Raw genomic sequence first — 15,208 nt, 5'->3', positions numbered from 1 at the left:
TATTGACATAAAACTATAACATATTTATAACTGGCAAATAAAATTGTACATATTTAAGGTATACAATGTGATGATTTGATATACCTGTATCTCCAGATATCCTCCACCTCTCAGCCCCTGGCAACCACCATACTACTCTCTGTTTCTATGAGTTCAGCTTTTTTAGATTCCACATATAAGTGATGTCATACAGTATTTGTCTGACTTATTTCACTTAGCAAAATGCCCTCCAGGTTTATCCATGTTGTCATAATGTCAGGATTTCTTTTTTATGTTGGAATAATATTCCATTGTGCATGTACAATCAGCCCTCTGTATGCATGGGTTTCCCTTCAGTGGATTTTTTTTTTTTTTGAGACAGGGTCTCACTTTATTGCCCAACCTGGAGTGCAGTGGTGCAGTCTTGGCCCACTGCAGCCTTGACCTTCCAGGCTCAAGTGATTCTCCTGCCTCAGCCTCCAGAGTAGCTGGGATTACAGGTGTGCGCCATCACGTCCAGCTAATTTTTGTATTTTATGTAGAGATGGGGTTTCACCATGTTGCCCAGCTAGTCACGAACTCCTGGGCTCAAATGATCCTCCTGCCTCGGCCTCCCAAAGTGCTGGGACTACAAGCGTGAGCCACTGCGCTTGGCCAAATTTATTTTTTTTAAAACAGATGGTTGTGCCTGTACTTAACATGTACAGACTTCTTCTTGTCATTATTCCCTAAACAATACAGTATAACAACTATTGACATAGTGTTTATAGTGCATTCGGTATTATAAGTAATTTAGAGATGACTTAAAGTATATGGAAGGATGTGCATAGGTTTTATGCAAATACCATGCTATTTTATATAAGTGACTTGAGCATCCAGGGATTTCGGTATCTGAGAGGGCTCCTGGAACCAATTCCCTACAAATATCAAGGAATTACTAGATAGATAGATAGATAGATAGATAGATAGATAGATAGATAGATAGATATAATGTGATATATCTATATATATATAATATATAAATCCACACACGTATATCAGTCACACTTTCTTTTTCTGTCTTGATAGACACTTGGTTTGTTACCATATCTTGACTATTGTGAATAATGCCACACTGAGCATGGGAATGCAAATATCTCTTCAAGATACTGATTTCATTTCCTTTGGATATATACCCAGTAGTGGGATTGCTGGATCATATGGTACTTCTATTTTTAATGTTTTGAGGAACTTCTATACCGTTTTCTATAATGGCTGTACTAATCCATATTCCTATCAACAGAGTACAAGCGTTCCCTTTTCTACACTCCCTGGTCAACACTTAGGTTTTGTCTTTTTGATAACAGCCATTCTAACCGGTGAGAGAGGGTATCTATCTCATTGTGGCTGTGCATTGCATTTCCCTGATAATTAGTGACGTTGAGCATCTTTTCGTATACCTGTTGGCCATTTGTATGTCTTTGGGAAAATGTCTATTCAGGTCCTTTGCCTATTTTTTAAATTGGATTACTTGGTTTTTTTTTTTTTGCTGTTGAGTCGTATGAGTTCCTTATATATAGGAATGCTAGTTATAGCATTGTTTTTAAATGCAGAATCCTGGAACCAATCTGGATGTCTATCAATTGGATAAGATTTAGTTGCTCCATAACTGTTATGGTACATGTATACTACAGAATAATATGTATGTACTAAAAAGAATGAGTTAGGTCTATCTTTACTAACTTGCGGTGATGTTCATGATAAAATTTTTAGGGGAAAAATTCAGTTGCAGAATACAGTATGCAGTGTGATTCTTTCTTTAAAAAATATACGTACGGCCGGGCGTGGTGGCTCACTACTGTAATCCCAGCACTTTGGGAAGCTGAGGCGGGCGGATCACAAGGTCAAGAGATCGAGACCATCCTAGCCAACATGGTGAAACCCCCTCTCTACTAAAAAAACAAAAATTAGCTGGGTGTGGTGGCGTGCACCTGTAGTCCCAGCTACTTGGGAGGCTGAGGCAGGAGAATTGCTTGAACCCAAGAGGCAGAGGTTGCAGTGAGCTGAGATCGCACCACTGCACTCCAGCCTGGCAACAGAGCAAGACTCCGTCTCAAAAAAAAAAAAAAAATGTACGTACAGGCTGGGCGTGGTAGCTCACACCTGTAATCTCAGCACTTTGGGAGGCCGAGGCGGGCAAATCACCTGAGGTCAGGAGTTCAATACCAGCTTGGCCAACAAGGTGAAACCCCGTCTCTACTAAAAATACAAAAATTAGCCCAGCGTGGTGGGGCATGCCCGTAGTCCCAGCTACTCGGGAGGCTGAGACAGGAGAATCACTTGAACCCAGTAGGTGGAGGTTGCAGTGAGCCAAGATCGTGCCACTGCACTCCAGCCTGGGCAACAGAGCAAGACTCCTTCTTTAAAAAAAAAAGTATGTACATTGTTTATCGTCTTTCTCTTCACACTGAGATATGTGTTTGATGAGGGGACTTCAGCCTATCTTATATTATGTATGCCTAGAATAGTATCTGACACATGGCAGGTACTCAAAGGTTTTTTTTAATTCAATGACTGAATAAATGCTTGACTATTTTTGTAAGAGCAAGAAGAGGGTGGAAGGGGCCATTCTAAACTGCCAGTTTTAGTTACCTCTGGGGAAAAGGATAATTGAGAAAGGAGAGAAGTTGTTAACAATTTCTTTATTCTTCTTTGCTTTTTTTCAGTTGTTAACAACAAACATGTTAGTTCTATAATGTAAAAAATCTTAGACCGGGCGCAGTGGCTCATGCCTGTAATCCCAGTACTTTGGGAGGTCAAGGCAGGCAGATCACATGAGGTCAGGAGTTCAAGACCAGCCTGGCCAACATGGTGAAACCCCGTCTCTACCAAAAATATAAAATGTTAGCCAGGTGTTGTGGCGGGCCCTTGTAATCTCAGCTACTCAGGAGGCTGAGGCAGGAGAACAGCTTGAACCTGGGAGGCAGAGGTTGCAGGGAGCTGAGATCACGCCACTGCACTCCAGCCTGGGCTGCAGAGCGAGACTCCGTCTCAAAAAAACAAAAAACAAATGAAAAAAAACAAACAAAAAAAAAACCAAAAAAAACACTTAGAAAGATAATGTTAAAGGGAGAAAAGGAGTATAAGCTACAAATGCCATCACATGGAGAGAGACACTCAACTATTTGTCACATACACTTCTGGATAGAGAAGAGAAAGGGGCAAGACCAGATAGAGCTGTTTGTGGGTCAGAGAAGGTTGTAGGTTGGGGGACTGAGTGGGTGTGGGGATCTTCTTTTCTTTACATTCAGTTACGTTTCTGAGGGCTGACTGCTTTATCCATCTAAAAAGATGTATGAATTTAAAATTGCTCTTTTTGGTTTCAAATATGGGTGCATTCACCACTTGGTGTCTGGAACTATTTACATTTTGTTGATACTAATGAGTAAGCTATAAATGACTCTCTTCACTCACGTGGCTGCTCTTAGTCACGTGGGACTGGTTCTAATGGGTCCGTGATACCAGTGCTCAGCACTCTCGGTATAGTATACACACCTTTGGCGAAGAGGCTGAAAGCACGTTGCTTTAGTTACTTGGTACTGGAAAAATCGAGGAGTTGTACCAGAACATAGTTTGATGTAAGCTCCTCGATTGCTGCCTTCTTCATAATAATTAGAAGCAGAAAATATAGTCACCACCTGGTTAAAGAAAAAGAGGGTCAGGTTCACGTAACATTAGTTCTCAAAAGGTCATTCAATAAGGTCAGAAATAGCTCAATTCTTAAAAAGCAAAAATCAAAGAAGGTTCATAAACCCTGCAAATCATCACAGTCTGATGTGATTTCTATGACTGCATCGGAGGAAAACAAGGCTACTACCCAGTGTCCCCAGCAGCACTAACTCCTGGCCACTCAGCCAATGTCCTCAGCGCATGGCCCTGCATTCTCGGGTACAATTTTAGTGCCAAATCTCAGAATCCTCTTTAATGTTTGATTTTGCAAATTCTTTTTCCAAGGGGATAAATCCCCTATTTTCTTGCCTTGTAATAGTTGAGCATTCAGAACAAAATTTGTCTGGTACTTCGGTTTTTTTCTTCTGCTTGGAGCTGAGTGATTTAGAGGGTTCAGGGCCCCAGAAAGTCAGTGCTTTAAGGGCAGAGGTGCAGTGGCTAGAATAAGGGACCACGACCACTGTCTTGTGAAGGAACTAGCCTTGGGCTGTGGTAGAATATGGGAGGACAATTTTTTTTTTTTTTTTTTTAAGATGGAGTCTCGCTCTCTCACCATGATGGAATGCAATGGCACGATCTCACCTCACTGCAACCTCCACCTCCTGGGTTCCAGGAATTCTCCTGCCTCAGCCTCCCGAGTAGCTGGTACTACAGGTGTGTGCCACCACGCCCAGCTAATTTTTGTATTTTTAGTAGAGACAGGGTCTTACCATGTTGACCAGGATGGTCTCGATCTCTTGACCTCGTGATCCACCTGCCTTGGCCTCCCAAAGTGCTGGGATTACAGGCATGAGCCACCGTGCCCAGCCAGGAGGACAATATTTGTGGGTGACAGGGAACCTGGTTTAGGCCCCGTTCTGTCCTGATGAGCATGTCACTTCAGACAAGCCACTGATGTTTTCTATCTATTTTCTTACTACAAAGAAACCCTAAACAATACTTGCCTTACTCATCTTGGAATGTTAGTATGAGCTGAAAATGAATTAATAAAGGTCAGAAAAACAAAGTGCTGACACAGAGGGAAATGCCACACAACTTGGTGTCCATTTTTATTTATTGCTGTTCACTATAGAAAAAGGTGCATTCCAGGCCAGGCGCGGTGGCTAATGCCTATAATCCCAGCACTTTGGGAGGCTGAGGCAGGTGGATCACCTGAGGTCAGGAGTTTGAGACCAGCCTGGCCATCATGAAACCTTGTCTCTACTAAAAGTTCAAAAATTAGCTGGACGTAGTGGCGGGCGCCTGTAATCCCAGCTTCTCGGGAGCATGAGGCAAGAGAATCACTTGAACTCGGGAGGCGGAGGTTGCAGTAAGCCGAGATTGCACCACTGCACTCCAGCCTGGACAACACAGCGAGACTCTGTCTCAAAAAAAAGAAAAAAGAAAAAAAAAAGAAACGGTGCATCCCAGAACAACTTGGGACAAGAAACCAGCTCCTCGGTCCTCACCTCTTTTAGCCTTTGATCAGACACCACTGAAGGAACACAACACACTCCGTTTTAGTGGCTGCAGCTAAACTGACTACAGTGAGCAACTTGCTGGAGGTCACCTACTCAGGGAGCTGAAGGGAAGTGTGTTTTGTGTTTTGGGCCCTGCACAGGGAACATGTAAAAAGTGCAAGAGCAAACTGGATTCACTGCTGCCTTTTATGCGCTCTGTGAGGAAAAGGACATTCTCAACCCCACTGTATGGGACAGTTGCCTTATAAGAACCAAGCCTTTCTGTGTGTCTACTTAGTGCCATGTATCAGAATTTCTGTTTCTGGGGCCAGGCGCGGTGGCTCACGACTGTAATCCCAGCACTTTGGGAAGCCGAGGCAGGCGGATCACCTGAGGTCAGGAGTTTGAGACCAGTCTGGCTAACATGGTGAAACCCTGTCTCTACTAAAAATACAAAAATTAGCTGGGTGTGGTGGCGCACACCTGTAATCCCAGCTACTTGGGTGGCTGAGGCACGAGAATCACTTGAACCCGGGAGGCGGAGGTTGCAGTGAGCTGAGATCACACCACTGCACTCCAACCTGGGTGGCAGAGTGAGACTCCATCTCAAAAAAAAAAAAAGAATTTCTGTTTCTGGGATTAGGGAAGATCAGGGAAATAAACCAAATATCTTTTAGGATAAGGGACAGTGAGGCCCCTTCAAACAACCTAGATGAAGCTCGCCTTCTCTGGTTTCTGTTTGGTACTAGAGAAGACATCTTCTCATGGGCTTCTAGGCCAGACATGCTCTGTGAAGAAAAGACTGTGCTTAGGGGAAGGATGTTTATGGGAATGTCACCAACAATTTTAGCTTACCTTCCCATCATGACAGATTTCATACCCTTCGGGCTTACATTCATGAGACCTGATGAGCATCTTCAACTGGTATTTATTAAGAATCTTGGAAGTAACATCTGGTCCAAAATAGCAGCCCCCTCCTCGGCACGTATTTGGAAAACAGCCATTTTTGCCTCTGGGATCACTCCACAGAATATCAATAATCTTGGAACAACAAACCAGATTTCGCTGTAACTTACAAGTGAGAGTATATCTTTCTAGATTCCAACTTATTTGTCAGAAATATTAACCCAAGGTATCCCAAAGACCACTTCTCATTCTTCCTTGAAAATTGTTTCAGGCCTGGCGTGGTGGCTCATGCCTGTGATCCCAGCACTTTGGGTGGCTGAGGTGGGAGGAGTGCTTGAGGCCAGGAGTTCAAGCCCAGCCTGGGCAACATGGTGAGACCTCAACTCTGCAAAAAATACAAAAATTAGCCAGGCATGGTGGTGCATGCCTATAGTCTCAGCTACTAGGGAGGCTGAGATGGGAGGATCACTTGAGCCTGAGAGGTTGAGGCTGCAGTGAGCCATGATCACTCCACTGCACTCCAGCCTGGGTGACAGACAGAGACCCTGTCTCAAAATTGTTGGGAGCAGGCCCCCCTAAAATCTGGCCATAAACTGGCCCCAAAACTAGCCATAAACAAAATCTCTGCAGCACTGTGACATGTTCATGATGGCCATAACGCCCACGCTGGAAGGTTGTGGGTTTACGGGAATGAAGGCAAGGAACACCTGGCCTGCCCAGGGCGGAAAACCGCTGAAAGGCATTCTTAAGCCACAAACAACAGCATGAGCGATCTGTGCCTTAGGGACATGCTCCTGCTGCAGTTAACAAGCCCAACCTATTCCTTTAATTTGGCCCATCCCTTCGTTTCCCATAAGGGATACTTTTAGTTAATTTAATATCTATAGAAACAATGCTAATGACTGGCTTGCTGTTAATAAATACGTGGGTAAATCTGTGTTTGGGGCTCTCAGCTCTGAAGGTTGTGAGACCCCTGATTTCCCACTTCACACCTCTATATTTCTGTGTGTGTCTTTAATTCCTCTAGCGCTGCTGGGTTAGGGTCTCCCCTACTGAGCTGGTCTCCGCAAAAAAGAAAAAGAAAAAAGAATATTGTTTCATATTCATCTCCTCCATGAATAACCAATACAGCAATAACAATAACCAAGAATCAGGCCTTGCCATTTTTTTTTTGTTTTTTTGGCTTTAAAAATTCCATCACAATTGTTTGACAATTGTTGAATCTACAAGGTTCTTTTCTCTTAAAAGAACTTCATTGTCACATTCAGGGAAGAAATTAGCTCCCCACAATGCCCACACATTAGGTGTGTCTTAATATGTTCAAAGACATAAAGTAGGTCTCCTGCTGTGGCTCTGGGCCAGGTTTTTGTCCTGTTGAGCACATAGCCTGAGGAAGCCCTTGCTGTTTCCCAACACAAATGTGGAAACCTGTTTATCTGAGGGTGTCTCCTAAAGCATCTCCTTCACTTTTCCCCCCTCGATGGTAAGTACATTCTCAGTTTCCGCAATACATTTAGTAAATGACTGGTTTCCATAATGTGTTCTAAATCCACAAGTGTTGTATTATTATAACATTTCCTTTGGGGCGCAGGAGAGGCAAATGCAGGTTACATGATGTCCAGGACTAAAGATCCAAATTTTTAAAATCATTTTTCTGCCAGGCACAGTGGCTTATGCCTGTAATCCCAGCACTTTGGGAGGCTGAGTCAGGAGGAATGCTTGGGTCCAGGAATTCAAGAGCAGCCTGGGTAAACATGGCAAAACCCCATCTCTACAAAAACTTAAAAAATAAAAACTAGCCAGGTGTGGTGGTGCCGGAATGTGTTCCCAGCTACTTGGGAGGCTGAAGTGAGAAGATCCCTGAGCCCAGGAGGTTGAGGCTGCAGTGAGCCATGTTCATGCCACTGCACTGTGGCCTCGGCAACAGAGCAAGACACCATCTCAAAATAAAACAAAATAATATTTTTCATAAAGATTGGAGGCTCCGTCTTTGTGGCTCTCATCTATCTGTAATGTTTCTTTTCTTTTCTTTTTTTTTTTTTTGTGATGGAGTCTCGCTCTGTCACCCAGGCTGGAGTACAGTGGCATGATCTCGGCTCACTGCAAACTCCGCCTCCTGGGTTCAAGTGGTTCTCCTGCCTCAGCCTCCTGAGTAGCTGGGATTACAAGGGCCCGCCACAACACCTGGCTAATTTTTGGTATTTTTGGTAGAGACAGGGTTTTACCGTGTTGGCCAGGCTGATCTCGAACCCCTGACCTCAGGTGATCGACCCACCTCGGCCTCCCAAGGTGTTGGGATTACAGGTGTGAGCCACTGCACCCGGCCTGTAATGTTTCTTTATTGAAACTTCTATAACAGCTTAAAGCGGTGAGAAAAACTCTCTCTGCCATTAAAGCTACATAACCTTGAAAATCCTCCCTGGGTCTCACTTTTGAGATCTTTAGAATCAGGCATTTGGACCAGTTGACCTGTAAAGTATCTCAGATTCTAACAGACTGATTCTAACAGTCTATATTTTCCACATGTTTCTTTTGAGTGCATGAAAAAGCAGGCATGTGAAGTTATGCAGTTATTCTAGTGGCTCCAAATCAGGTCTGGAGAAGAGGACCAGGAATTGCTAAACATGATTGTACACCCGTTTATAAGTTTGGTATGGAAGAGGAGCTAGAAAATAAGTGAGGAAAAAGACAGTGAGGTGAAAAGAGCAGAACTGGCAGGAGAGCTACCCTGGAATAAGTACCTGGTCAGAACTAGAGAAAAGAGAAACCCTGTACCAGGCCCACATCAGATACCTGCAGAGTTTTTGATGATTGAAGTGACAGTTAAAACCACCCAAAGAAGAGTCAGCCAAGGGGGCTCCTTTCTCCCCACTGAATTCCAACATCAGCACCGCCCTACTCTATGAATAAATATAATGGAACCCCTTTACTTTGCTGGTGTTTATGACAAAAATAACACTTGCATTTTCAACTGAGTCAAATCTGGCTCTTACACCATGATGTCATGTTTAGGGACATAATTCGACCTGTAATATAATGATGGAGGAAAGATGGAAATCAAGGAGTTGGGCTTTGTTAGGAGGGGATTAAGCTTCCAATTTCTACATGGGATGCAAATCATTTATAGCCAAAATTACCCCTGGGAAACCTCTTAAGTTACCCTTAACATATATAGTTGCCCCTCAGTATCCAAGGTGGATTGGTTCCAGGACCACCTCCTACATCCAGGATACTAAAATCTGTGGATGCTCAAGTCCCTCGTATAAAATGGCGTAGTATTTGCATATAATCCACACCCATCCTCCTGTCTACAAATGGTCCCTGACTTAACGATTTTCAACTTCACAATGGTGCAAAAGCAACAAGCATTCAATGAGCTCCTTGACATGATAGAATTAAGTCCAGATAAACTCATCATAAATCAAAGAGTATCTGTACTATAAATCATCTCCAGATTACTTATAATACCTAATACAATGTAAGTGCTATGTAAATAGTTGTTATGCCATATTTTAAAATTTATATTAGATTGTATTGTTATATTGTTTTCTTTTTTTCCAAATATTTTCAATCTGTTATTGGTTGAGTCCACAATGCAGAACCCGTGCATACGGAGGGTTGACTGTACATGAATGTATGCATACAACTCTATACAATAATATGGATATGTGAATGTTTTATATATATTATATAAATATGGATATATTATTTTATATATGTGATAAAGTATATGAAAATAAAATTTTCCAGTATTTTTCTCCTTTTTTGCCATATACAATAATTGAAATTTACATAAATTCAATGCACATATGATGGGACTCTGTTGAACTAGAATAAGCACTGGCCAAGGAGTTAGCACTTCAAGTAATTACCTAAGTCACCTTGGGCAAATCACTTAACATATTCAGGACTTAGTCATCATCAAAGGAATGAGGAAGATATATCTGACACTCATTTTTCTTTGATTCTAAGTCATAAGGGGTAACAGTTTTTAAGAACTGAGCTTGTCCTTCAGAATCCATTCCCTGAGTTCTGCATTTCTTTTTTCTGTCTAGAAATCATTTACTTGACTAGGTTTACCCAGATCGTAGTGGTAACGTAAGATTAATTGCAGAACTCACAAAAAAATTGCATAAAAGCCCATTTGTTGGTGAAACAAATTCCTCAGTAGAAACCATCTCTTTCATCTCAACAACACATTATCCTCTGAAATGCAGGATCCTTGGGGTGATCACTGCATGAAAGACTAATTAATTCTTTACAACATTCTTTCCTGAAAAATTTCAAACAAAAAAAATGGGAACGTTTTACTGAATTACAGCTTTTATATGACCTGGTCAACAAAAATCTATTTGTGTGTCAGCCTTTTAAATCTCCTCAATCTAAAATAAATCCTTCAAGAAGGACCTTGCGCATGTCTGCAGCTCTAAGTAATCCAGACTCCAAAAGTGTGCTTCGAGGGAGAGTTAATAGCTCTGAAAGGTATATCTAAATGCTTCTCTTCTAAAACATTAATACTATAGATTCACTATTCTTTCATATTTTCCCTTAGTTATACATCCTCCCTTCCAGCTTTTGACCATGTCATTTTTAATTAATTCATTAATTCATTTATTTTTTGAGACAGAGTTTTGCTTTCGTCGCCCAGGCTGGAGTGCAATGGCGTGATCTCAGCTCACTGCAACCTCCGCCTCCTGGGTTCGAGCAATTCTCCTGCCTCAGTCTCCCGACTAGCTGAGATTACGGGTACGTGCCACCACGCCCAGCTAGACCATGTCATTTTTTTTTTTTTTTGAGACGGGGTCTTGCTCTGTCGCCCAGGCTGGAGTGCAGTGGTGTGATCTCGGCTCACTGCAACCCCCGCCTCCCAGGTTCAAGCAATTCTGCCTCAGTCTCCCGAGTAGCAGGGATTACAGGCATGCGCCACCACGCCCGGCTAATTTTTGTATTTTTAGTAGAGACGGGGTTTCACCACGATGGTCAGGCTGGTCTGGAACTCCTGACCTTGTGATCCGCCTGCCTCGGCCTCCCAAAGTGCTGGGATCACAGGCGTGAGCCGCCACGCCTGGCCTAGACCATGTCATTTTAAAAGCTATGCTCAGGCCGGACATGGTGGCTCACCCCTGTAATTCCAGCACTTTGGGAGGCCGAGATGGGTGGATCATGAACGAGGTCAGGAGTTCGAGACTACCATGGCCAACATGGTGAAACCCTGCCTCTACTAAAACTACAAAAATTAGCCGGACGTGGTGGCAGATGCCTGTAATCCCAGCTACTTTGGAGGCTGATGCAGGAGAATTGCCTCACCCTGGGAGGCAGAGGCTGCATTGAGCCGAGATCGCACCATTGCACTCCAGCCTGGGCGACAGAGCAAGACTCCATCTCAAAAAAAAAGCCGTGCTCAGCCCAAACCTTCCAGCCAGGTACCTAGATTTCTTTAAATGCCTTCCTCCTGCTCCCTGTCCACCCTTCAGGCCTCATTGAATAAGGGCTGACTAAAGTAGGTCACGTCCTTCCTGAGAATGCCTGTCACTCTCATCTATCCCTTCAGAAAAAGAGCATGGACATTCAAGTCAACCTCAGGATCAAATCCTACTCTATCATTCCTGACCAGCCAAGACACCTCAATCAAGTCATTTCCCTCTTGGGAGCCTCCTCAATGCTGCTGACTACGTTATTTAAAATTGCAATTTTGGCCAGGCGCCGTGGCTCATGCTTGTAATCCCAGCACTTTCTGAGGCAGAGGAGGAAGGATCGCTTGAGCCCAGGAGTTCAAGACCAGTCTGGGCAATATAGTGAGACATCATCTCTATAAAAAATAAAAAAATGAGGTGAGAGAATCACTTGAGCCCAGGTGGTCAGGTTTGCAATGAGCCGTAGTTGCACTACTGCATTCCCACCTGGACTACAGGAGTGAGACTCTGTCTCAAACAAACAAAAAAAAAAAATTGCAATTTTGTCCCCAAGTCCAGTTTTCCTGTTCTCCTTAACTCTGCTCTAGTTTTTATTGTTCCCATAGAACTTATCACTTAAGACTGGGCGCAGTGGCTCACGCTTGTAATCCCAGCACTTTGGGAGGCCGAGGCAGGGCGGATCATGAGGTCGAGACATCCTGGCTAACATGGTGAAACCCCGTCTCTACTAAAAATACAAAAATATTAGCTGGGCGTGGTGGCAGGTGCCTGTAGTCCCAGCTACTTAGGAGGCTGAGGCAGGAGAATGGTGTGAGCCCGGGAGGCGGAGCTTGCAGTGAGCCGAGATTGCGCCACTGCACTCCAGCCTGGGCGACAGAACGAGACTCCGTCTAAAAATAATAATAATAATAAAAAAGAACATATCACTTAAGATATCATATCATTTACTCATTACTGTATTGTTTGTCATCTAACTCCTCCCCCTAAAATGTAAGCTCTGCAAGGTAACGGATCTTTATTTGGTCATTGACATTTCCCAGAAGTCTAGAACAGTGTCTGACACATAGTAGGTGCTCAATAAATACCTGTTAAATGAATGAATAAAGAGAGGGGAGTCATTCAGACTATAAATAATTAAAATTATTTTTGAAACCTTTCTGGCCTCTGTCTCTTTGTAAGTCTGTCTTAAAGAGTATCATATTCATCTCTGTATAGTGACTTAACTCCGATTAAATATATCCCCACATCTCAGTGAACATAAGGGAAAATTTAAACTATAGCACTCTGCCAAGAATTATGAATTTCCATGACTACAAGACAAAATAAAGAGTATATGATCTTTATACAAAATAGCTCATAGATATTAAGAAATAAAGTAATTGTCAGCTCTGTTTTTATCTGGAAATTTCGGCTCTAGCATAACTTATGTGTGTGTTTATCCACTATGTACCAGGAACTGAGGAAAGAAAATTAGGGGCACAACTAAAATGATTAAACATCAGAAATGAGGTTCTGGCCCATTTTACCCAATGTCAGCTCTGATCATGTGTGTGGGGTCTGCAAGATGCTGTATCTCTATTGTTTGGGGAGTGGGAGGCTCTGTTATGGAATAATGAGCCCCAGTCTCCTCCCTCCCACTTCTTAAGGCTCTTCTAACTCTTCTAGGCTTCCAGAGGCCACAATTTTCTTTGTGTGCAGCTCCAATTTCTTTAACATTATCTTCTTTATTCACCATAATCCTAGAAGAGCTTGTTCTAACCTTCAGTCTTTGGGATTTGGATGTCAAGGTTTAAGGAGGCATCCTTTCCTACTTGCTATGAGATGCCTCTCATGCTTACTTGATTTTTAAATATTTTGGACTCACAGCCAATGATGAATTCCATTTCTCCCTCAGTCTGTCTCCCCACTTCTCTCTCTCCTCATTGATTAGGGTATATTTTACACCAGAAATCACATTTTAGTCAACATTTTCAGCAATCAAGGTATAAGGGTCCCAAATCAAGAAAAAGAGGTTTCTTTAACAATTACTGAAGGGAAGTAAGAAATTTAACACTGTTTGGTAATTGTTTAATTATGTTTCCCAGCTACAGATGTAACCAACATCATGTGGGCACGTGTCTATGTGTACTTGTGACATTGCAAATGCATGTATGTGTGTTTATATCTGAAAACGAAAGCTACTTATTATGGTTATGATTCTATCTACAGGAAGAACACTTTTATCATTAAGCGTTAGTCCATATCCAATAATTTTATTTCATTTCTTTCAGAACAGGAAACCTGAAGAAAAGTCTTCAAAAGTCCTTTCTAAGAGGTCATAACATTCCCATGTAAGAAGTTGAAAACCAGAGTTCTGGGGCCGGGCACAGTGGCTCATGCCTGTAATCCCAGCACTTTGGGATGCCAAGGCAGGTGGATCATCTGAAGTCAGGAGTTTGAGACCAGCCTGACCAATATGGTGAAACTCAGTCTCTACTAAAAACACAAAAATTAGCTGGGCGTGGTGGCACATGCCTGTAATCCCAGCTACTCCAGAGGCTGAGACAGGAGAATTGCCTAAACCCAGGAGGTGGAGGTTGCAATGAGCTGAGATTGCGCCACTGCACTCCAGCCTGGGTGACAGAGTGAGACTCCATCTCAAAAAAAGGAAACCAACCAACCAAACAAACAAAACCCAGTGTCCTGTAACATCTTTTCCTACAGTGAGAGACATGGTATGACCTAGCAGTCAAAAATGAGAAGCGTAGAGTCCAACAAATTTGGAATCAAAACCAGACCCATCATTTAGCAAATTATTCAACTTATGTGAGCTTCAGTGTCCTCTTTCGGGAAATAGGAATAATATTATCTACGTCATCAGGTTGCTTTAAGGATTTAATGAGATAATGCACATAGCTGTTGTTCTTAAGAACTCATCCCTGCCATATAGGGTAAAAACTGACAAGAAAGCAGTTAAAATGTAGGACTGGAAATTTAGAAAAACGCTAAATTTCACCAAGACAAATGAGCAAGAGTACTCAGGAGTGATCAATACATTCTTGTTGAATGGATGAATGAATGAGAGGAATATTTATAGATCTTACTCCATGCCAGAAGCTGCCAGAGACTCCAGACAGGCAGCTCTGGATATGCACGCTGTCACAAAGATGAGTACATGGCTTATTGCCTTTACATCCATGTTTATAGACATACTCAGTACAGTTCTCAAAATGACAACATAGTGACAGGAATGGCAGTGTTAGGGGCTTGGCAGACCCTCTCCCCAGTGAAACAACCATTTAACTGGTGAACATCTTTTTCTTTAAGACAGGGTCCCACTCTGTCGCCCAGGCTGGAGTGCAGTGGCACGATCTCAGCTCACTGCAGCCTCCGCCTCCCAGGTTCAAGCCATGCTCCTGCTTCAGCCTCCCAAGTAGCTGGTACTACAGGCATGCACCACCACGCCCAGCTAATTTTTGTACTTTTTATAGATATGGGGTTTCGCCAAGTTGCCAAGGCTGGTCTCCAACTCCTGGGCTCAAGCAATCCGCCCACCTCAGCCTCCCAAAGTGCTGGGATTACAGGCGTGAGCCACCACGCCCAGCGGAAAATCACTTAAAAAAAAATTAAAATAGTTAAAGCCACTGGAAATTGTCCTAATGGCATACAGCATATGGAGAAACATTTAAGAAAACTTACTAAATTTTGATACCAACAGAGAGAGTCTGTGGCATTTGAGCCATGATCTACTCTAACCCCCTTCACTGATCAGCATGAAGGATG

The 15,208-nt window shown here is 42.9% G+C and overlaps 1 protein-coding gene across 19 annotated transcripts in view; it reads right to left on the bottom strand.

Moving 5' to 3' along the window:
* Positions 1-15,208, bottom strand: part of PPEF1 (protein phosphatase with EF-hand domain 1) — a 152,851-nt gene that overhangs the window by 17,859 nt on the left and 119,784 nt on the right. For 17 of the 19 annotated variants that reach the window (XM_047442194.1, NM_001378382.1, NM_001377986.2 and 14 more), the window contains 2 exons: positions 5,982-6,167; positions 3,514-3,656 (listed from right to left, as the gene is read on the bottom strand). In XM_047442194.1, the coding sequence (XP_047298150.1) occupies positions 3,514-3,656; positions 5,982-6,167 (329 nt within the window). The remainder of the gene's footprint in view (positions 1-3,513; positions 3,657-5,981; positions 6,168-15,208) is intronic. The other 2 variants (NM_152226.2, NM_001389623.1) reach the window with 1 other exon arrangement.

This window comes from Homo sapiens, chromosome X, assembly GCF_000001405.40.
Source record: "Homo sapiens chromosome X, GRCh38.p14 Primary Assembly".
In the NCBI taxonomy this organism is placed as follows: Eukaryota; Metazoa; Chordata; class Mammalia; order Primates; family Hominidae; genus Homo; species Homo sapiens.
Note: the sequence above shows the minus strand (reverse complement) of the source record. Positions and strands in the feature narration are given on the sequence as shown.